This window comes from Homo sapiens, chromosome 15 (genome assembly GCF_000001405.40).
Source record: "Homo sapiens chromosome 15, GRCh38.p14 Primary Assembly".
NCBI classification, from domain to species: domain Eukaryota; kingdom Metazoa; phylum Chordata; class Mammalia; order Primates; family Hominidae; genus Homo; species Homo sapiens.
This window is the reverse complement of record NC_000015.10, coordinates 54,008,226-54,031,707: the sequence shown is the minus strand read 5'-3', so window position 1 is coordinate 54,031,707 and position 23,482 is coordinate 54,008,226. Positions and strand designations below refer to the sequence as shown.

Below are 23,482 nucleotides of genomic sequence, written 5' to 3'. Positions count from 1 at the left end.
ACCTGTACAGGTAAGTCATTATGCATGCACACACATGCACACAGGCAAACACATACACTTGTGCATCTTCCTACATATTTGGTACAACTAATGCTCTGGTTCTATGTCCCTCTATCAGTAATAACTTCCTGTCAAAATGTAGAAACTTCAAATTGTCCAAAGATGATTCCTTCAAGCCCAGCCTGATGTGTGTTCAGTTGCTAAAATAATGTTACTTCACCCTTTGGGAAGCCGAGGCGGGCAGATCACAAGGTCAGGAGATTGAGACCATCCTGGCTAACACAGTGAAACCCCGTCTCTACTAAAAATACAAAAAATTAGCCAGGCGCGGTGGCGGCTGCCTGTAGTCCCAGGTACTCAGGAGGCTGAGGCAGGAGAATGGCGTGAACCCGGGAGGCGGAACTTGCAGTGAGCTGAGATCGTGCCACTGCACTCCAGCCTGGGCTATCCAAAAACGGCACCCTTCTGAATTTCCAATGCCTAAATATCTTTATCAGCAGGAGTGCTTCCATTTGATAATAGAAAAGACATAAAATGCAAACATCTCCAGGAGATGCAGCTTATCAACTGAAAATCAGTTACGATAAATATCACTCATTCTACAAAGCAATGAAAGGAAGGTCAGGGGATGATGAAGCAAAGACCAATGAGCTACTAGATACTTGATAATTGGGAGACACAGCATCACAGGCCTAAGAGACTGGGGAGTGTGACTGGAAAAAGAGGTGTACTATGGTTTGAATGTTTTCATCCTCTCAAATTCATGCTGAAACTTAATTCCAAATGCAACAGTATTAGAAGGTAGTAATAAAATCAGGAGGGCTCTGCCCTCACAAATAGGATTTTGGGCTCTTATAAAAGGGCTTAATAAAGATAGTTCATCCCTTTTTGCACTTCCTCCTTCTGCCACCTGAGGACACAGTGTTTTTTTCTTTCTGGAAGATGCAGCATTCAAGGCACCATCTTAGAAGCAGAGAGCAGCCCTCACTGGAAAACTGAACCGGGACTTAAACTTCCCAACCTCTGGAACTGTGAGAAAATAAATTTCTATTCTTTATAAATTACCCTGTCTCAGATATTTTGTTATAGCAATACAAACAAAGATGGGGGTAAGAAGAGGATGATGGAAGCCACATTTACTTCTACATAATTTTGCTGTGATAGTTTTCAACATTTATACAAAAGTTTTTGCTTATTTACTACTACTACTAACAATAATTTCTACCCGATTGACCTTACTGTCTGAGATTATCTCTAAGTTCTCTCACACCTGGACTGCAATCAGTTAGACCTTTTTCACAGTTACCTTTATATTGTTCACAGGAGTTTGTATAACAACTAACCGCAGGGGCAGGTATTTGAATACTGGCTCTGCTTAAGGGGCGTTAACTAAGTAAGTAACATTCAGCTTAATGGTCTAGGGATCTGTCACCTCAGGAGCAAAATGAGGATATTAATAGTCATGACCTCGGGTCTGAATTTGGGTCTTGCCAAAAGTAGAGCCTGGGACACGGACATGGGGGTGGGTAGTTTGGAAGGTGGTCCCTGGAAGCAGGAAGAGGGGCAGGGAGAATGAGGTAGAGGTGGAGAAAAAGCCTATATAAGGATGAATGACTGAACCTGCTGCCGCTGCTGCAGCAGCAGACAATAGGGACTTGACTCAGCTAAGACCTCCAGACTTGGGTTCAGTGTGCTGCCCTGAATTGCCCTCCCAAAGGGTAGAAAGCTGCAGCATTTATCCTGGATCTGCTGTCCTTTACTGGTTGAGGGTTGCTGAGTGGAATCCCTCAATATCAGAGAAGACTGAGGCAGAGATCTGAAAAGATGAAGGTGTTCACTTGAGTGAAAGATGAAGCTGAGCATGACCATATGCTCTGGTCCACCGGAGCTGCAGCTGAAATCAGAGCAAGGCTGAGTAGGGCCGCATAGGGTCCCGGGAACCTCTGCCGCACCTTCTGAAGCTGTGTGAAGGCTTAAGTGGGAAAATGCATGCAAAGTGCTCACCTCTGTCAGTTTGGCTGCATAAGTGCCATTTTATGGCATTGTCTTACTTTCTTGCTGATTACTAATAATAATGAATAGGTAATAATTAGTATTTTAATTGTAATGTCATTAATTATCCAGTTATTTATTTTTCTGTGTCTTCTCTTCTACTTATAACCACGATGTCATTCACTGTATACATTCAGTAGGTGCTAATAAATATTTTCAAAAAACAATTGAATGATAATATGAGTATCAGCTACAATGCCTCTCACAACAGTCAGCTCAAGAAATAATTGTGAATTCACTTGAACCGGATCATAATAGTATCAAGGAAGGAAACCACGTGTTTGTATCATGTGCCTTCTCCCTGCAGCCCTAATCTTGAGTTCATCACACTACTAGCACTCAATAAATGTTGATTGACTTATTTGGTTCCCTATGTTGAAATTGCCCCGAGGCAACACAGTTAAAAAGCCAGAGAGTACAGGCAGAGGCACATTTTTTGTGTTTCATGAAAACATCAATAACTGAAGCTATTAATGCTAAGTCCAGTTTCACCAAGCTGTCTGTGCCCAGAGTCTTTCAAGAATTCAAACCCAAAAATAATCACAATCAATTCCCAAAATGCATTCTGGATGGTTTAGTTAAGAAATGTTTAGGAAGGTAACTGTAGCATTTGGCTTCTGATTAATATTTCTCATAAATAGTTTAAAATCAAAAGAAGTCTGTGCGTTTTAGGTAGGTTGCCTCCCTACTGATTACTTACTGGTTTGGCTGAAAATTCATCTTTTATGTATTTATTTTATCACCACATTTTAAGTGAGGAAATGGAGCACAGTGAGGTTAAACAACTTGCCCAACCTCCTAAGACCTGCAGGCTGCGGGCGCCTGTAGTCCCAGCTACTCGGGAGGCTGAGGCAGGAGAAGAGTGTGAACCCGGGAGGTGGAGCTTGCGGTGAGCCAAGATTGGGCCACTGCACTCCAGCCTGGATGACAACAGAGCGAGACTCCGTCTCAAAAAAAAAAAAAAAAAAAAAGACTTGTAGGCTGACTCTGGAGGCCAGGGTCTTAACCACTGTGCTTGGCTGAGTCATGGTTGACCACTGGCGGGCACTGGGAAAAATGCCAAGGGTACCAGGCATACCACTTGCCTCGCAGGAGATGAGGGAGGCAGCAGGAAAACAGCAATTTTCAGCGCTATGGGCTCGCTGTCATTTTGCCCTTACTCTAAAAGTTATATAAAGACATTTTTAGTTTTGCCAATTTATATGTATCGCTGGATGCTGAGACGTGATGGATTAGTGGCAGAGCAGGGATGGGGAAAGAAATAGAGACGGAGACTAGTTTTGAGGCTACAGCAATGGTCCATTGTTGTCCGATGTTCAATGGAGATTGAGAGACAATTAGAAGGCAAAGTTGCCCGGCCTTATTCAATAACTGAGTTTGAGGTGATGAATGTACCCCACATAGGAAAATTCACTTTTGCTAATAAAAGGAGAAAATAGTTCATTGTGTACATTATGAAATCAACTGAAAGTCTGAAAAACTTAGCTTGAGATATAGGAGTCAAGATGACATAGATCCCAGCCAACACTCACTACAGTAAGTTCACCACTACTGGTACTTAAACCATGGGCAGCTGCAACTATTAACCTGGATTTATTAGTTTATGTACAGTGTTAATGTACAATGTCTACTTATCCCTATCTCCTACCACTTCCTCCCAATTCAAAGTTCTGGGCAGGCATTTCCAGTTAGCCAAGTTTGACATGTGCTCAAGGCATGGCTGATAGGGGTGGGAAGAAGGCGCTTCTATTCCCTTCAGCTTTGTGGTAGCACACAGAGCACTACTTCCTTCTAAGGGCTTACCTACTAGTAAGGAGACACCAATAAGAAAGGAATTCAGATGCTGAAAAGCCAGAAAAAAAAAAAAAAAGGAAATGTGCAAATTTTCACTACAGTGTGTCAAATAAACTGCTAAGGAGGACAACCCTGTCTTAAGCAAACAGAGGATGGTGGTGCCATCTGTTGAGACAGAAAACCCAGGGAGAGGCCAGGCACTGTGGCTTACGTCTGTGATCCCAGCACTTGGGGAGGCAGAGGCAGGCAGATCATTTGAAGTCAGGAGTTCAAGTCCAGCCTGGCCAACATGATAAAACCCCATCTGTACTAAAAAACACAAAAATTAGCCAGGCGTGGTGGCACATGCCTGTAATCCCAGCTACTTGGGAAGCTGAGGCAGGAAAATCACTTGAATCCGGAGGGGTGGAGGTTGCAGTGAGCCGAGATCCTGCCACTGCACTCCACCCTGGGCGACAGAGCGAGACTCTGTCTCAAAAACAAAACAAAAGAGGAGAGTTCAACAGGATATCTTGTTTGACATAACTCCTACAACTCATTATCTTACTCTTCTTCCATGGCTTTCCATAGTGTCTAGGAGTAAAAATAAAATCTCCGAAAAATTCAAAAGACACAGAAAAGGTGGCCTCTGATTATTGCACCAGATTTCTCTTACATGCTTTTCCTGTTTTTTTTTTTTCTTTTTTTTTCTCAATTCCTCAAACACATCATACCATTTCCTGCCTATAGAACGTGGCTCATGCTATTTCCTCTGCCTGAGGGGATCTTTTCCTTTCTCTTAGCCTGGCTCAATGTATTCATTCTTCAAATCTCAGATCAAATACCATTTCCTTAGGGAAGCCTTCTGTAACCTCTAAGCTGTAATGTGCTCTCTTAACACTTTGGATTTTCTTCTACAGCCATTATCAAAGTTGGAAACAATATATTTGTGTAATTTTTAAAATTAAATTCCTCTCACCCACTTCACTGAAGACAAAGACCAAATATGATTTGTCACTGCTATATCCCAGACGCCCAGCCAGGAAATTAAAGATTTATTGAAGAATGAACCAATGCATGAATTAATGACTGAAAGAATAAATATATATAACAGTCTAGGTTTGACAGAGGAAAATTAGACCAAAGACACTGATTTGGAATCATCAGGATACAGATGATAACTGTAGCCAATGGAACTAATCAAATCACTCAAAAAAGAGTGAAAGGAGTACTTGGGATGATATATTAATTATCAACTATTAAGTATTTCTTAATGTGATCCATGGGTTTCCCTACAGCAAAATCAGCTGGAGACTGGATGAAGGAATCTATGTCTTTAATAAATGACTCCAGATGATTTTACTGCAACCTGAGAACCACTAACTTTAGCAATCAGTAGAGAAATACCCTTGACGCAGTCCCAAAGTTTGTATTACAGGCCAGGTGTTCTAACTTCTAGAAGAAAGAAGCATAAACGTGCACAAGTAGCTAAGAGCATGTTATTGTGCAAAGAATACCAGAGGAGGATTCAGAAATCCTGGGCCTGTCACCTGATCTCATCATATGCTACATTTACAACCTACATTAATGACCGGTAACTATCTTCAGGGAATAGAGACTTGAGGACTTCAGCCATAGTCTACTCCATTAACGTTTTATGAGGATTCAATATATATGATAGGTGACTTTTTAAAATATCCCATTTGCATTTTGTTTCTAGAAAATGCAAAGGGCATGTTGATCAGCTCGAGAATTTCCTATCCATTTCTCTCAGATAGTAAAATGCTTTCTTAAACATTAAGTAAATTATCATTTTATGTATGTGTATAGGAACACCAGTATGTGTGCCTTAACTGTAATCACTAAAGAACAGAAATGTAAATCTAAAACCACGGGCTTTCCACAAGACACTGTCAGCATCAGAAAAGGCATTAAAAGGGCAGGGGAAGCTTAACCTACATCTCTGGGAAATAAGAAGATTATATTCAAGCTGTCATTTCTTGTTGCCATGATTATATGCGGTCAACAATTTCTTTTATCACAAATTATACAGAAATGACACCTGAATAATCATGTTGCCTGTAATATCATCATGTAAAATGGGAGAAAGATCTGATCGTTTGAGTGCTGGCTTATGATTTGGGAAAATAGCTTGTAATTGCAGTTCTACTGACAAATTGGTGCTGTCGGGTAAATCAATATTTACCACCTCAGTTTCTCATCTTATATAGTTGAACACCGACACTTAATTTCTGGAATCCTAAACTAGGCTGCATGGGGTAATGCTTAATTAAGCACACAGAATGTGGAAGATAAACGCCAAAGTACAAATACTGGATTTGCTACTTCTGGGTTTTCTTCCCCCTCCTCTTAGATAGGTTACAGTATTTCTGTTTCACATCCATAAAATGAAGTCAAATATAATACCCATTTCATAGGGTTATTGTGAAGATATGATTTAGTGAAGTATTTAGAATAGTATCTGGCACATAAGAAAGGAATTAATAAATGTTACCCAGTATTAAGCTCCACACCTTCTAGGGTTCTTAAGAAAACTAAAGAAAGTATGTGTTTGTGTGTGCCAATGCTATATAAAACACATACACGCATAACAAATTTCATACTCCAAAATAAAAAGCATCCTTTTTGAAGTCATCATGGTTGAGTTAGGGAGAAAATGAAGGATATGTTGAGGGCAGTGAAGATGCTTGGAGGGATGAGGGAGAGACATACTTATTCTAAATAAAGTGACATTGCTCAATATATCTTGGGACCTTTTGGCATTGCCTATGGATCATTTCTTCTTATTTCACAGTTGTTTGAATCTGCCAATTATTAATCACTTTTATCTTCAGATGGTTTATTTAATATTTGGAAGTAGCTGAGAGTCAGTAAATCAAGTTTGATGAATGAAGTGGTTAGCAAAATTCCATAGCATTTTTTTATTATTTTTTATTTTTTATTTTTTGAGACGGAGTTTCTCTCTGACGCCCAGGCTGAAGTGCAGTGGTGCCATCTCGGCTCACTGCAAGCGCCGCCTCCCGGGTTCACGCCATTCTCCTGCTTCAGCCTCCAGAGTAGCTGGGTCTACAGGCGCCCGGGACCACGCCCGGCTAATTTTTTTGTGTTTTTAGAGACGGGGTTTCACCGTGTAGCCAGGATGGTCTCGATATCCTGACCTCGTGATCCGCCCGCCTCGGCCTCCCAAAGTGCTGGGATTACAGACGTGAGCCACCGCGCCCGGCATTCATAGCATATTTTTTTAACAGAAGCATACAATAGGCTGAAATGAGCCATGGTGTAGAACTCAATCAATGCATTTAGCTCTGTCCAGTTTTACAGCCTATGGAGGCAACCTAAGCTACTATCTTTAGTGCAGGAAACAGTTCTATTTGAGTCCATCTCCCTTGGACTCAGCATCAAAACATTTTGCTTGCAAATTGGGCTCAGTCCTTGGATACCTTCTGAACAATAAAGCTTTTACCTGTTTCAGATACTCATTTCTCACCTTGGGTCTTAGTTTAGGTAACTAGGTAATTCTCTTGATAACCTCTCTAGTACCTCAATCCCTCCTAGGATTTGTATTTCTCTTAATAGTTCTCATTCTGGGATGTTGAGAGCCTATCCAAGTGATATCCAGAGTTAGAGTCCTAAATGCTTTAGAAGCCATCATCTGTGGTCTGACGTGTACTCTCCAGGTGGCAGGTTTTCTCTGCTGCACTGGAGTCGGTCTCCTCTCTTGTTCCTGAGTTTTATGCCAGAGCCTAAATTGCCCCACTGGATGTAGCTATTCCATCTACCCCATTCTCACATAATTCATCATAATTGATTAGGCTATCCTTTGCTATCTTACACCAGAGTTCAGAGTTTATCTTATTCCACACAGCAATCTCAAAAATGATTTATAATTTCTATAAAAATATGTCTCTGAGCTTGAAGAAATAACATGAATGATGACATGAGCAGAAACAAGCAAATAAAAACTATTCATCTGAGGTTTTGACATAACATCATTTCTTGAATCTCTGAGATACAGTATTTTGCATTGTACACTTTGCAACAACATTCCTAGTACAACCTGGAAACTGCCATCTTTCATCGTCAGTTAATATTTTCCTCAAAAAATGCACCATGCCTTTAGCTTCCCTGCAAATACAGGTATTCCAGTCTTATAGTTTGGGAGCCATTTAATAGTTATAACATAACTTAACTGTGTTTATGAACTCTGCAACATTTTTGTTGTTCCTGTTCATGGGTCTTTGTATATCCTTTTGAATTTCTTACCTTCTATAAAAATTTTGTAATTCTCAAAAACTAATCTTATTGGCACTTAACTTCTTCACCCCTAATAAAATCTTTTCAAGTGACTAGCATCACCTCCCCAGACTTACAAAACTTCCTAAAAATATGATACTATCTCTTAGCACAAACTATTATCACTCACCTTTTATTAAGAGAGCTCAGTATGTAACTACATTTGCTAACACAAAATTGGCTGACTTTAAATGTACAACTTACACAGATGCTTAAAAACATAAGCCATAATCTTTCATGACAAGACTGGCCTGCATTGGCAACAGGATGTCAGGGAAAGAGCATCGACTTTGGATTCTGGGCAAGGCACAATAGGAGTCAACCAACACCCTTAATTCGCTATATGATGTTGGGCCTTCCTTGTTTTGCTCCTCTGAGACTCAGTCATCTCACTTGTAAGATGAGGCTAACAGTACCTTCTTCCCAAAGCTATGGTGACAAGTATGAAATTAAAATGCCTAGAACTGAGTCTGATAGAATAGCATACCTATTGGTTTCTTTCCCTTTCTCTTAGTTCCATCTCACACCAGAATACACTTAAACACTTTGGCTCCAGTTGGGACTAATCTCCTTATACATATTATCTTTCTCCCCTCTGAACCAATTTACAAACACATGTATTCGTTGGGTTCTAGTCTTGCCTCCTAGATGAATTTTACTGTTGGATCTTTTAGGCTTTATCTCTAGCAAGAAGTAGTGTCCCTAGCTGGTTCTCTACTGCTTCTAGGGGCCCTTGGCCACTTCACTCCTCAAAGGTCTCCTTTGACTCCGAAAGCACAGACAGCAAAAGCAAAATAGGCAAATGGAATTACATCGAAGTAAAAAGCTTCTGCATAGCCAAGGAAACAATTTACAGAAAGATGAGACGATCCATGAATTGGAAGAAAATATTATTTGCAAACCATATATTTGATAAGGGGCTAATGTCCAAAATACATAAGGAACCCAAACAAGTCAATAGCAAGAAAATAAGTAACCTGGTTTTAAAATAGGCAAAGAACCTGAGCAGACGTTTATCAAAAGGATAGATGTAAATGGAAGATATATCAAACAATGCTCAGTATCTCAGGGAAATGCAAATTAAAACCACAAAGAGGCTGGGCTGGGGTGGCTTTTGCTTGTAATCCCAGCTACTCTGGAAGCTGAGGCAGGAGAATCTCTTGATCCCTGAAGTTTGAGGCTGCAGTGAGCCATGATCGTCAAGGTACTCCAGCCTGGGTGACAGAGAACCTGTTGCTTAAAAAAAAAAGAAACAGCCAAAAAACCACAGTGTGATATCACCTCACACCTGTTTCAATGACGATCAAAAAGATGAATAATAACAAGTGTTGGTGAGAATGTAGAGAAAAGGAAATTCTTGTACATTGTTGGTAGGAACGTATATTAGCACGGCCATTTCAGAAAATACTATGGAGGTTCCTTCAAAACTAAAAATATAATTACTAGAAAATATGATCTACCAATCCCACTTCTTCATATTCAGTCATGTGTTGCTTAACAACAAGGATATGTTCTGAGAAATGAGTCATTAGGTGATTTTGTCATTGCTTGACCATCATAGACTGTACCTTAGACAAACGTAAATGGTATCACCTACTATACACCTAAGCTATATGGTATAGCCTATTGCTGCTAGATATGTTTAGATACATAAACATTTACAATTTAACATATAGAGCATGTTACTATAGTGATTACTGTAGACAATTGTAACACACTGGTAAAGGTTTGTGTTTCTAAACATATTCAAAGATAGAAAAGGTACAGTAAAAATACAGTATTATAATCTTTTGGGACCACCATCATGTATACAGACTGTCATATATGCAGTCCATCATCAACTGAAGTGTCATTACGCATCTCAGGGCTGCATATCCAAAGGAATTGAGACTGATATTTCAAAGAGATAGCTGCACTTCCATGTTTACTTCAGCAATATTCACAATAGCCAAGATATGAAAGCAACCTAAGTGTCTACCAGTGGATGAATGGATAAAAAAGTAGATGTACACACAATGGAACACTACACGGTCTTTAAAAAGAAAGGAATCTGTAATTGTGACAACACGGATGTAACTGAAGGACATTATGCTAAGTGAAATAAGTCAGGCACAGGAAGAAAAGTATTGTATGATCTCAATTATATGTGGAATCTAACAAAGTCAATCTCAGAGAAACAGATTTTAGAAAGGTGATTACCTGAGGCTAAGGGTTGGGGTAGAGAGTGAGGTGGGAAAAGGGAAGATGTTGATCAAAGGGTAAAAAGTTTGAGCTAGACTGGAGGAATAAATGTTAGTGATCTACTGCACGGTATGGTGACCACAGTCAATAATAACATTGTATATCTCAAAATTACTGAAAGAATAGATTTGTCATGTTCTCACTAAAAAAAAAATATGTAAGGTGATGGATATGTTAATTAGCTTCTTTGAATCTTTCTACAATGTATATGTAACTCAAAACATTACATTATACCGCATAAATATACACAATTGTTATTGTCGATTAAAAATGTTACTGTCAAATAAAAATGTCAATTAAAAAAACAAGAGAATCACTTTATAGATAATTCTAGTGTATTAGAAGCAAAAAATACTAGACAAAAGGTTATTGTTATGCACTGCATTTTTATGGAACATTTTGCAAATAAGTTGCCTTCTACTATTACCAGTATTGCTATGCTTGAAGGAAGATTTACCAAAAACAAACAAAAAAAAAGCCCCAAGTTGTCAGATAAAATGTGGAAGGATAGGAATTTATTTGTAGGCAAAATTATGCACTAAATGGTTTCTACAGGAAAATCCCCTAGGACTTTTGATACAGATGATTTCTAAAATTTTAAATTCATACATACCTTTTAAGGAATACATCTTTATTGCTCTATTTTCATATGTAGATATTACTAAAGCCTTTTCACAAAATGTAATAATCTACTTAACTCTGAAAGGTTGACAAAACATCTTTTGTTTTTAAGTTAAGAAAAATCGGCCGGGTGTGGTGGTTCACGCCTGTAATCCCAACACTTTGGGAGGCCAAGGCAGGCAGATCACGAGGTCAGGAGTTCGAGACCAGCCTGGATAATATGGTGAAACTCCATCTCTAATTAAAAAAAAAAAAAAAAAAAAAATTAGCTGGGCGTGGTGGTGCATGCCTGTAGTCTCAGCTACTCGGGAGGCTGAGGCAGGAGAATCGCTTGAACCCAGGAGGAGGAGGTTGCAGTGAGCTGAGATCGTGCCACTGCACTCCAGTCTGGGTGACAGAATGAGACTTCATCTCAAAAAAAAAAAAAAGAAAAAAAGAAAAAAATTATTAATATTTTTCCTTAGACTGATTTTATCTCTTTCAAGTTTAAAAAGGGGGAAATTAAGAACGCCGTGTGAGCAGGTATATTTGCTACATAGCTTTTAGTAGTGCTCTTCAAATGTGTTCTGATGATCACATCCCTCAGAACCGTCAAGGGAGCATCTGAATAGCCAGACTGCATCCTCCTGACCTGGACTGTCCACAGGTGAGCTTTTTTACTTTTCATTTTAGATTTTGTTTTATTATGTTTTTAATTGTGTGTGTGGTTGTTGCTGTTGTTTTATTAAAGGGCATATATTACATCAGTAACTCGTGTAATTTAAAGGCATATGCCTGGCCCCGTTGTAGGACCACCAAGTCACAATAATCTGTGAAAATATGCTAATAATTGGTCATTTTAAAATAACATCCCAGGAACAACTACTACAAAAGCTTTCCAGATGATTCTAACAACCAGCCAGATTAGGAACCACTAGTCTAACAAAGTATCTACCTTAGGAAATTTTAATACCTTCAGTTTTATATCCTTACTTGGAAGTCAACATATTCTGACAGTTTTATAACCATTCAGAAAACAGAATATATACATGATGTAAAAACTAGGAAGTATGCTAATTTCCGATATCACAGTCTCTTTCAGAACAAGATTTTTGGTCTTCTGCTAGGAAAACTATTAATACTTCAAACTGACGTCAGGTTCTGATTTCAGGTAAAGTGTATCAGACTGCAAATACAACATCCTTCAAGCAGCTGTTATAGTACAGTATTTATTGCACTCTACAAATCTTGATTTATAAAATGAACCAGGGATTTGAAGTAGAAACACTGAGAATGAACTATTTCACATCAAAACCTGAGAGTCCCAGAAACTTAGTGCCTTTCATATTCATACTGGTTTCTCGTGAATATCTCTGAGTTGAACTAAACCTAGTGGCTGACTCTGTTCTTCATCTCTTATCAGTTTTTCCAACTTAAAACTTGAATAAAAACAACCTTTGAAGTGAATAAGCATACTGCTGCTCTAAATAGCCAAAGTAACAATCCATGTAATTCTGGATCCACCACTTATTAGCTGAATGACATTAAGCTAGGTAAGTTTTCAGCATCTGCTTCCTCACCTGTAAAATGGGATAATAATAAAATAAAATTAATAGTGGTGTTATAAGAAGTAAAAGAATGAAAAACAGGTAAACAGCCTGGAAAGGGCCTAATATATAGTAATTCTGAGTAATAAGCTTTTATGTCTATTCTTCTGAGTTCTCAGGAGATAAAGTCATAGTCTTAGCGATTAAAAGCCACAGTTTGAATTTGGATTTGACTTTAAAGTTTGTGTTTTTTTATTTAGTATCCCACCTCTCTTGATTCAGGCATTTATCCAACACATATTAACTCAATGCCATATGGGTATAAAACACTGGTCTAGGCACAGTACAAGTTAAAGGATTAAAAAAAAAGACAACTTGCCTCTAGACTATTCTGGAATAGAAAATGAGAAATGCACATAAATATGAGAGTCAGTGTGATAAGAGGCAAGTACATGGGAATTTTGAGGAGACAATAAATAGTTAATTCCAGTTGATAGGTGGTACAAGGCTGAAGGTGGGGGATCAGAGAGTCACCATCATGGTGTAGGAATCAAGACAGCTGCACAAATGGTGCCAACTCAGCAGGGGCCAGCAACAATGGAAGAATTTGACTCATGGGGAAGCTTCTGGCTACACACACTCTAAGGTCTCTTCCTACTGGAATGCTGTTTAAGGTGGAAAGTTCTCTGAAACATTATCATCAAATATCCACATCTATAAACATTGGAGTTTTCTGGTCCTCTGGATCCTGAAGACAACAGTTGAAATAAATAATTCAAATGTGTGAGCTTATAATTCCATAAAGCTGTGTCAGAGAGACAGCATCCCACAGTTTGACAGCAAGAGCTCTGCACTCCAATCTGGCTAAGGTTACTTATGGAGAAAAGACAGCACTGCTACCTCGTGATAACTACGTAGCCATGGAGAGAAAAAATATGTTGGCATCTTCCCAAAGCCCAGTAAGCAGATGGCCATGGGAACAGAAACCATCATGACAATTGGCACCTCTTTGGGATGCTCTGAGCAGGAAAGGGGCCTGGAAAATGTCCTTCTTTGGCTGTCCTTCCTTCAGAGGCATATGGGTGGCACAGGATGGGGAAAACTGCCTGACTGCTGCCAAGGGGAGCAGAGATAGCCTTTAAAATCTAGGCTACCGCAGCTTCCTGGGTAGTCAATCTGGTACCTTTCAGCAACCAGAGACCATCTTAAAGATGTGTGTGCTGATTTCCTCTAGGACAGATGATATCCAACAGATTCCATTCAAAGTTGGCTCACAGGATAATAAGAAGCCAAGCTCCAAGAGGATGGAGGGGTCTGAGTCCTCTATAGCCAGGCCTCATATGCAGGTAAATGGCACAGGATTGTTTTATCCGTGGTTTTATTCTTAACCAGGTGGCTATAGATAACCAAGAGCATGTGTGTATTCCAAGGTTAAGTGCCACTCACTGGATGACTAAGTTTGTTAGCTGGCTGAAGGGTCACCATCAGTAACAATCTGCTTTGCAGAGGCTTGCTAATTTGGAATTTTTAGAAGTTGAAGAAGATCCATTTTTCTGAAATGTATCATCTTGTCCTATTTATGATATTGCCTAACATTTCAAGCAACTACATTAACCAACTGCCATTAAAACATTTCTCTATTATGTCACAACAGATATATACAAACCACACACACACACACACACACACACACACATGCTCATGCACTTCTTAGTCTTCATTTGCCTTTGAGTAAACTCTGAATCAACAGCAAATAAAATACATTGTCAAACTGCTGGCCTGTATCCCAAGAAATAGCAAATGAATTTCAGTAACAAGGATATCCGACTCTCAAAAATCACTCCAATATAAGATAGATATTATTACCATATGCATTACATTTGCATAACATTTGACTACTTTTCACTCTTAAATCAGTTTTAAATATAGTTGAGAACTACCCATCCCTGCAAAAAAAACAAAAACACAAAATGTTGCAACAGCCAGTGCATTCAAGATCCCTTTGACTTATATCATTCCTAAATAAATTACATAAACTGTGTTGTTTTATAAAGATAGATTTTTAGAGTGGCAAACCCTAGTTATTTCAGTTGTCTTAGAAATTCAAATAGTTTAGCAGTAAAGATTTCTGATTATTCAATAATCTACTCACATCAACCACAAAATGGCTCATTTAGGGGAGTTTGATCACAGCTTTGGTCAAGACAGAGAAGATATAACCAGCTACTGGCTGCAGATATTATTATGTTATTTGATAATAGCAAGTAACACTTGGTCATATACACCTTTATGAAGTATTATGTAGAGTAATAGCTTAATTAATGATGACAATCCCATGATCAGGGAACATAATAATAATATGCAATTCATTTAAATTTAGATAGTAACAGACTATTCCAAAAATGTAAGTAATTAGCATGCAACTAAAATAAATGGTAAGGGAGTGGAATAAGTGCGGAGGAAGTTGGGTTGAGAAATAGAAAGTAAACAAACTCTTACATTTACATATAACTATCACTTTCCAAAAGTATATAATCCAAAGTTGTTCCCACAAGAAAGCAATTAAAATAGTTAGTTAAGGTACTCTTCTCATTTCCATGGTGGAGAAGGGACTTTATTCTTAAGAAGGTAACCACTCAACTCTATCCCCTTACTGATCTCTTCTCAAAGAATAGCTTGTGACCACTCAGACATGACCTAGGGCCTTGGCTCTATTGCTCTCCCTGACTGTGCCAGTAGGTTGTAAGGGAGTCCATGGTCTTCCATGGGACTGTCCTGTGCACACACAACTTTTCCTATGGGCAACCCCTAAATTGTTGAATGGATAGGAAAATGAGTGGTTAAGTCTCAGAGTCCATCTTTTCACATTTTTTTTTAAGATTACACCTTTTTCTCCATCCCTGTAAACTTAATGGAACCAAGAAATAGATGCCAGGCTGTTGGCTTAACCTTTGGTTTCACTCAACTTTTGTTTGACAACTGATGCCACAAAGTTAGTTGATGTTAAATGGGGTTTGTGCCTAAATTTAGCAGAGAAATCTGATCCACAATGTGTTGGGTTAAGTTTGGGCTCATTCCAATATGACCCATTTAACATATTCTTTGATTTTAAATCATCAAGCCCAACTTCTTAGGAGAGCTGCCTGAGTAAAACAAAATGCTCCTCAGAGTAAAGCATGGAAAGTCATTGCAAGTAAACTCTTTCACCCAAGTAAACACAGAGCATGCTCTAAAGAAGTGCTACCCAATGTTAAAACACAATTAGCTCACAATGTAGCATTTAAACATGAATACCTCCAGCCAAGATCTTCTCTTCCAACTCTGCCATTTGCTTTTTATAGGCCCTTAAAGCTGCTTCTTTGAAAGAAGGACGAATTCTCTTTGGCTTTGTGATCTCCACTGGCTGTTCAGGAATGTTTTGGTTTTCATCTTCTCTTATTTCCATCTCAGCTGATGTTTCATTTAAGGGTTCTAACCCCTCTTCACTAACCATATCATCTGCTGGACCATCATAACCCTCATCTTGTGGGGTTTCATAAGGTGTTTCATATGAAAGGTGATCATATGCTTGCATTTGTTCATCTGTTTCAGTAATACTAGTCCTGTTTTCTAGTTTAGCAAGGACTTGTTCCATGACTTCAACATAATCTGTTTCATTGTCAGCCACTGGTTCAGTATAATCTTCCTCATCCTCTGCTTTATAGTAATAGGGCTCCGTGTAGACATCAGAGTCAAGTGTGGTACTTGACTCATTTGCAGTTGATTGAGATAATGTCCGAAATCTCCCCATTAATGAAGAGCCACTGTCCTCATACCCACTCAGACTCTGTGTGCTTTTGTTCCATACTACTTCCAAGGCTGATTTAGCCCTCTGCAGTGTAGATCCAAATTTTGGGAAGCTGAAAGTCTTATCAGAAAGGTCAATGCTTAATCGACTATGCCATGATTTGGGTGGGGCATCCTCTGAATCATCACTTTGCAATTCACTTTGACTTCGATACATCATGGACAACTGGTTTTGATTTTGGTATAGCTCATTAGAATTAGCTCCCTGATAAGAATCATATTGGCCAACCCACTGGCCTTGTGGTTCATTATCCAAGCCAGGGCATGGAGAAGAATTGTCATCTTGAGTTAAGTCGTAGCTCTCTGAGTCATCTTGAAGATCACTGTGGCACTTTCCCAAGTATTCTAGGTCTTTATTGTAAACATCAAGCTGTTGGTCAAAAAGACTGTTTGTTTCATAATCAAAACCTTCCTGGGTGGATGAATCCAAGCCTAAATCAGCTCCTTGATTCCATTCCTTCCATGGAGAAAGATCCTCATGTAAAGAGAGCTGAGAATCACTGTAATGACTCCGGTCTCCAGATGCACACACCATGCCATTACTCATTCCACTATCCACAGTTTCTGTGTTTTCAGTTTCAGTCTGCCCTTGGATACCCTGAACACCTCCATTCAAATGCTGGTCCTTGGGACTGTCATACAGGGTCGCTGTTCCTTCCTGTTTCCTCTGCCATAGCTCCCGGTCCGAAGATGACAGGAGAGAGCTTCCATTAGTTCTAGTGAAAAACTGATTTTCTGAAAAATCTTCTGAGTAAGACTGACACAATTTGGAAAAATCTGATTCAGAACGACTAAGTTTAGCAGTGAAAAAATCACTCTGTGAGTGCCAGAGAGGTGTTGCATCTGCATAATGGGTTGTGGTTTGCTTTTCCAAGATATCTGATTCTGGCAACTGTGAGGAGATTTTATCATAATCTGATTTATTTGAAATTCTGCTGCTATTAGCAGTTTTATTCTTGGATCTAGCACTGTGTGATTTTGAGCTTGGCTTGGAAGTACTTCCCTTTGTTAGAAGCTCTGACTTGGAAAGCACAGCGTAACTGTTTCTATTGAGGTCAGATTCAAGATCTTCATCACTGTCATCAGGTGACTGCCAATTGTTCTTCTTGATTTTTGGCTCTGGAGTAGACAACTTTATAGCCATGCTCTCATATGTCTGGGAGGATGGTATCCCTTTCTCTTTTCTTTCTCTGATGTCATGAGTTAGAATATCTGTTGAGATTCCAATGCCTGTTCCTTTGAGTTTATATGACTTTTTTAAGACAGAATCCCTTTGTTGAGGGGTTTCAAAGTACACAAGTATGGGTCGAGGCTTTGCATTTGGGCAGTCTCTCTGGTGTCCTATCCTCTGAGCAAATTCAATTTTAATAGCATTTGGTGCATCTGAAAAACCCATTTTATCTATTAGAATTTGGTACACCACGCTTTCAACATATTCAAATCTTTCTTCAGTCACATTTAAAAATCTCAGGCTTGCCTTGCTACCCATATGACCTAAGTGCTTAATATAATCATGGATGTCTCTAGTTTCCCTCCGAGACTGGACAAACCCTGTGCGCAACTGCTCAATTTCACTTTGTACAACCTCCACACTGCTGGAGATCTCATCGATGGAGTGCTTGAGAGCATTGACGTGCCCTCGTAGTTCAGAAAGTTCTGTTTCAATCTGACTTATTCCCTGAAGTTCCTTAAAGATCATTTCCATGACATCATGTGTTTGGCTAATGCAGCCAGAGGAACTGAACCCTGGCTCCAGGGCATTTGTCTTTGGGTTTCGGACAGTTCTGTCCAAAGACTTACTTCTTATTCCCCAGGATTTTTTCATGGTGCTTAACTCTGAGTCTGAGGAGACACATTCTTGACTCTTTTTCCATTTTCTCAGTTTTCGTAAAGCTCCCAGTTTTAAGCCATGTAGAGTACGCTCCCCGTCAGAGCTGCCCTCAGAGGGTGCAAGGCTGCTTGAACTCTTTCTGTTGCGTCTAACTGGCATTGTGTGTGTTGATTGTGCCTGGTTTTCTGTGCTACTCCTTAGTTCATTTAATGATTCTGAGTAGGAACTCTCGATTGAAGAGAGCTCTTGAAGCAGATCCTCATTATCACTGTTGGTTACTTTAGCATTCTTTTGTAGGCCATTGGCAATAGCTACTCGGTAACTGAATGTTGGTGAGAGGGAAAACTCTTTACTGGCCTCGTCTTCCTCAGTGGATAAGTTGTGAGTGGATGAACACTTTGCAATCTTCTTTACAGTGCTTTTAAAAGTGTAAGAAAATTTGGGGGATTTGGTCTGGCCAGCAGTGGGGAAGTCTTGATCCTTTTTCTGCTGACGATACTCTTTGTTTTTGTTTGTATTTCCCAATTTCTTTGTAAACATTCCTTTGCAAAGCTTATGAATGTAAGGTAAAATCAAGCTCTTGAAAAAATTAGCCACCATGGAGAGCAATTAGTGCAAGCTTTTCTGCCCCAGAAAAGTAAACAAGTATCAGGATGAAAACCTGAAAATCCAAGGCAAGCATCACTGTTCAGAAGTTCTGTGAATCACTGGAAAGAGCAGGAAGGGCAGGCATGGCTCTGCCACATTGTCGCTGTCCTGTGCAAACCAGAAGCAAAGCTCCATCTGTGAAAGACATTCTTTCCTGGAGGAGGGGTTTCATGAATCTCTCTCATTTCCACATAACTCCATGTAGTGTCTAAAAAGAAATGAATGTTAAAATAAATATCAGAATTCAATTCTAGATTTCTTCCATTTCCAACACGTTTCAAAAGTATTCATAATACACAATGTGTGAAAAATTGCAGAGGAAGTAGGAGAATATATGAATTTCAATGTAAATTTACTTTTAAAATAACTACTGAAAGCAAATCACTACCAATAACTATGTTTATAATGTTTTTTGATAAATCATTTATGGGTGGACACAACTGAAATAGTAATAAAAGGTAATTATGATTATTTAGAAAACATTGAGTAATACGACAGTCAATTTATACAGCCATATTGACTTCATAAAGTCATTTCTACTCTACTTTCTTTCCTAATATCATGTTTACTTACACAAATGTAAGGATTTAAATCTATGTATATTCCCCTCACATCCAAGATATTCAAAATTCACAAATTAATATTATCTATATATATATAACCTCTTTTGATTCATTCAAATAATCTTTTTCTGACCACATAAATAAATAATCTCTATGATGACTAGTTTCTTGAATTATGTGAAGAAAAAGAAAATAACGTTTACATTTAATTTTGCTGGTTTGCCAGCACAGGGCCTCATATTAGTAGGAACTCAAAGTTTTGTTGAATTGAACTTAATATTTTATCAGTGAAATGTAACCCAGAATAATAGTAACAGTCAAAAGGCTTTGTTGGTATTCCAGTATGTGTTTGGGAAGATAATCTACTTAATTCATTAAAGAACACATCATAAACTACAGATTGTCTCAGAAATCTGCTCTTTTATCAGCTCTCTCCACTTGGAAATCTGCCAGTTGCATTTCAATCAGGCTCTGCAGGGGATTTGGGGATACATGTTCTGGCCAGGAGCCAAGCTCCACAAGAGACAAGGGGAGCATAGAAGAGGAGGAGAAAAGATGGAGCGAAAGAGATGAACTCTAAAGAAGTCCAAGTCTTTCTGGGTTTCAAATACTATCAGGGTATAACTCTTCTGCTCTGAAACAATTTGGTATTCATTCACAAACACAAACCAGGACCTATTTTCTACTAATAAAAATGTCAAGAAATTTACTTTTGAGTTAATTTAAAAAGCATTTTTTATACTCCTATGTGACATCTCCCTGTGAAGAAAAGGCTTTGGAAAGTTAAGCTGCAATCAGGTAGATAAATTATTTTTAAACTAATTTTAGTCGAATAAAATTTTCTACCCATCACTCAATCCAAAATCTTTGGTCTTCCAAACTTAGAAACAGATGGTTCTTTTTGTTTAAATCAAAGTAGCAATTCTGTTAATGCCTCTGATGTTTTCAAATCTAAATTTCCTGACTGGCATTACTGGTTCAAAGCTACTGTTCTAGGCAACAATTGTTAGAAAAAGTTTGAGCGGGAAAGTTCAATGCGAAATGAAGCCCACCAAATGCAAACTCAGGAACAGGTGTCCACAGTTGCACACACGAACTCACTTGCTCGTATTCCAACCACAGAGAACAACCTGTTATTCACTAAGGGCTCCACACTCTTTCATGCCCCAGTAACTTTTATGTCCTCTCTAGCCAGAATATCATTCATTATCCAGCCCTCACTATCTGTAAAAATTATGTTTAAACTCCAAAACCATTTCAGCAACCACCCAAACTGAGCTCATCTCTCTCCTAGCCACTCTTTATCGAAGAATTGGCCACATTTCAGCCACTTAGTATCTCCACCTAGTTGCCCCAAATTAAACCCCATCCAGAACCTAGCAATTTTCCTGAATTACTAATCTCAATAATGTCATCATAATCATCCACTTGCCCACAGCATATACCCAGGAGTCATTCTAGATCATGTGTCATCCATCCCATGTTCATACCTGAGGTGACATAGTAATGCCTTAGTAAGGAACACTGTCATTTCTCATCTAGACTATGGCAATTGTATCCGACGTGGTCTTCCTAATGATAATTTGACTCTTTTTTCAAATCCTAAATTTCTAAAATTCATACAATTAAAAATATATGTCCTCCTTCTTGAAACGTTATTTTAGCAGCCTTATTTTCTGTCACTCCCATAAGCACATCTGCCTCAGCAATGGTGAAGTAGTAGCAGTTCCCTGATTACCATATTTTTACCTCACTAAAGGGCCTTTTTCCATGCTGTTCCTTCTTCCTCCGATTCCTTTCCCCTTCCCCTCTCTATTCACATGTCTCTTTCATAAATATCTATAGAATATCTATATATTTGAGACCCAGCCAAGGATCAACATCAGCTCATTTTACCTCCTCAGCATACAGCACTTCCTCCTCTGTGCTCCTGCATTGTACTCTCAAAATACCATAATTATTTACGTTAAATATTTTATCTGCATGTCTGCCTCTCCTATCTGACTATAAACTCTTGAAGAGCAGGAGCCATATTCTATTTAACTTTAAATTTTTATATTCCTTTATACATAATAGACTCATACTGTTTGTCAGATAGGTGATCATGTAAATGAATGAAAGTAATAAAACCATGAACTAAAACATAAACAATATAGGTTCCAGTAAGCCTAAACTGGCTGCACTGGGCCTTACACAATCCAGAGAAGGAGAAGCAGTGTGAGCAGAAGGGAAGCATCTGAGACATTCATGTCATGTGCAAAGGTGGAGAAGCATCCACTTTGTCCAGAGAGGGATGCCTCTGATGGGGAGCAGAGGATTGACAAAATACAATCAGAAGGTAGACAGTTTTGAAATTTAAGAAATCCCATTTGAGGAGTAGGCACTAATGGTTATTGGCTTTCAGCACAGTCCCTTGATCCAGATTACCTGCAATGGAATCCCAACTCTGTGATACACTAGCTGTGTGGTCATAAGAAAGTTACTTCCTTGGGAGGCCAAGGCAGCAGATCATGAGGTCAGGAATTCGAGATCATCCTGGCCAAGTTGGTGAAATCCTATCTGTACTAAAAATACAAAAATTAGCCAAGTGTGGTGGTACATGCCTGTAGTCCCAGCTACGCAGGAGGCTGAGGCAGGAGAATCACTTGAACCCGGGAGGCAGAGGTTGCAGTAAGCCGAGATCACGCCACTGCACTCCAGCCTGGTGACAAAGCGAGATTTCATCTCAACAAAAAAAAAAAAGAAGAAGAAGAAGAAGAAAATTACTTTCCTACTGCTTTATCTTGTACATTAATTATATTGGGACAGAAATAGCATTTCCTCATAGGATAGTTGTAAGGTTTAAATAAGTTAATACATGTAAATTTTTGGAGCAATGTCTAGAAGATAGCAAAGCCCAGTAAATATTAATTACTAGTGCTGAGAAGAGTAGTGAAAAAGTTCAAGAAGCAATTACAGAAGACTAATCAGGTGGTATCTGATGTGAAAATTATGATATAGTGGGGGGCAATCTAAGAATTCTGCTAGGTTGGAGAATGAAAGAGGAAGAACAAAAGCATTCTAAAGAAGCAGTCAGAAGTGAAAGGGAAGATACCTTTTATCTCTATGATCCAGCAACAATTTCCTAATATTGAAATCTCACCTTCCTAGTTACTGAGCTCCTACTGTATGTGTGTGTGATACAATCCCATCATAAAACCATAGATGCTTTAGGGAAAGAGTTGGTGAGTCCAAAATACCAGCTGTGGAACTTCCTTCAGACAAGTGACTGAGATAGGAAAGGAAGATGACATTTAATGATCACCTGTTATGTTTCAGAAACTTAAATTATCTCCGTAATCCTCCCAGAAACTCTTTAAAAAAGGCATTATTATGCCTATTATATGAGGAGATAAGAGATTCAAAGAGATAAAGAGATACAACCAAAAACTGCACAGCTAAACAAAGCAAAAAGGTAGTTTGGTCCTAGTCCTGGAGTCTATGAAACAATCATTTGTACGTAAAGTGAATGTTACCAGTGGTAACTGACACAAACCCTTACACCCAGCCCATACAAACCCACATACCTACTCCTCTCTCTGAAGTTCATTTTTTTAAAGTAAAATAGCTCAAATCAGGAAAAACTCAAGGTAGATGAGAGGTAGCTGGAGGGTGAACGCAAAGATAACATCATCTCAACTACTTGAATTCCAAAGCTCCAACTTACTCTCTAGATATTTTAACTTTAGTTAAATAACTACACATTGTCTTCATTAATGAACTTTAGGGATAAGATTTAAGACTTTGGAAAGAAAGTCTTTGAAAGAGATTAAAACAATAGACTATGCGGTTATAGGAAGCCTTAGTAATAACATTCAATTATTATTTACTATGTACCAAGCACTGTGTATGCAATTTTCTAAAGTTTATCTCATTTCATTCTCACAATAATTGTAAAAAATAAGTATTTTTAATTTCCAGATAAAGTGACTCAAGCTTTAGTTTCTGAAAACTTGCTTAAGGTCATGCGATTAACATGAAACACAGCCTTGACTCCGAACCCCAGATTTGAACAGAAAGTGTGTAAA

General features: G+C 38.7%; 1 protein-coding gene across 7 annotated transcripts in view; it reads right to left on the bottom strand.

Moving 5' to 3' along the window:
- UNC13C (unc-13 homolog C) overlaps positions 1-23,482 on the bottom strand; it is a 795,839-nt gene that overhangs the window by 601,733 nt on the left and 170,624 nt on the right. For 6 of the 7 annotated variants that reach the window (XM_047432538.1, XM_017022220.2, XM_017022221.2 and 3 more), the window contains one exon: positions 15,822-19,060. In XM_047432538.1, coding sequence (XP_047288494.1) covers positions 15,822-18,804 — 2,983 coding nt within the window. In that variant the 5' untranslated portion in view covers positions 18,805-19,060. Of the gene's footprint in view, positions 1-15,821; positions 19,061-23,482 lie in introns of those variants that run through there. The other variant, XM_017022225.2, reaches the window with a different exon arrangement.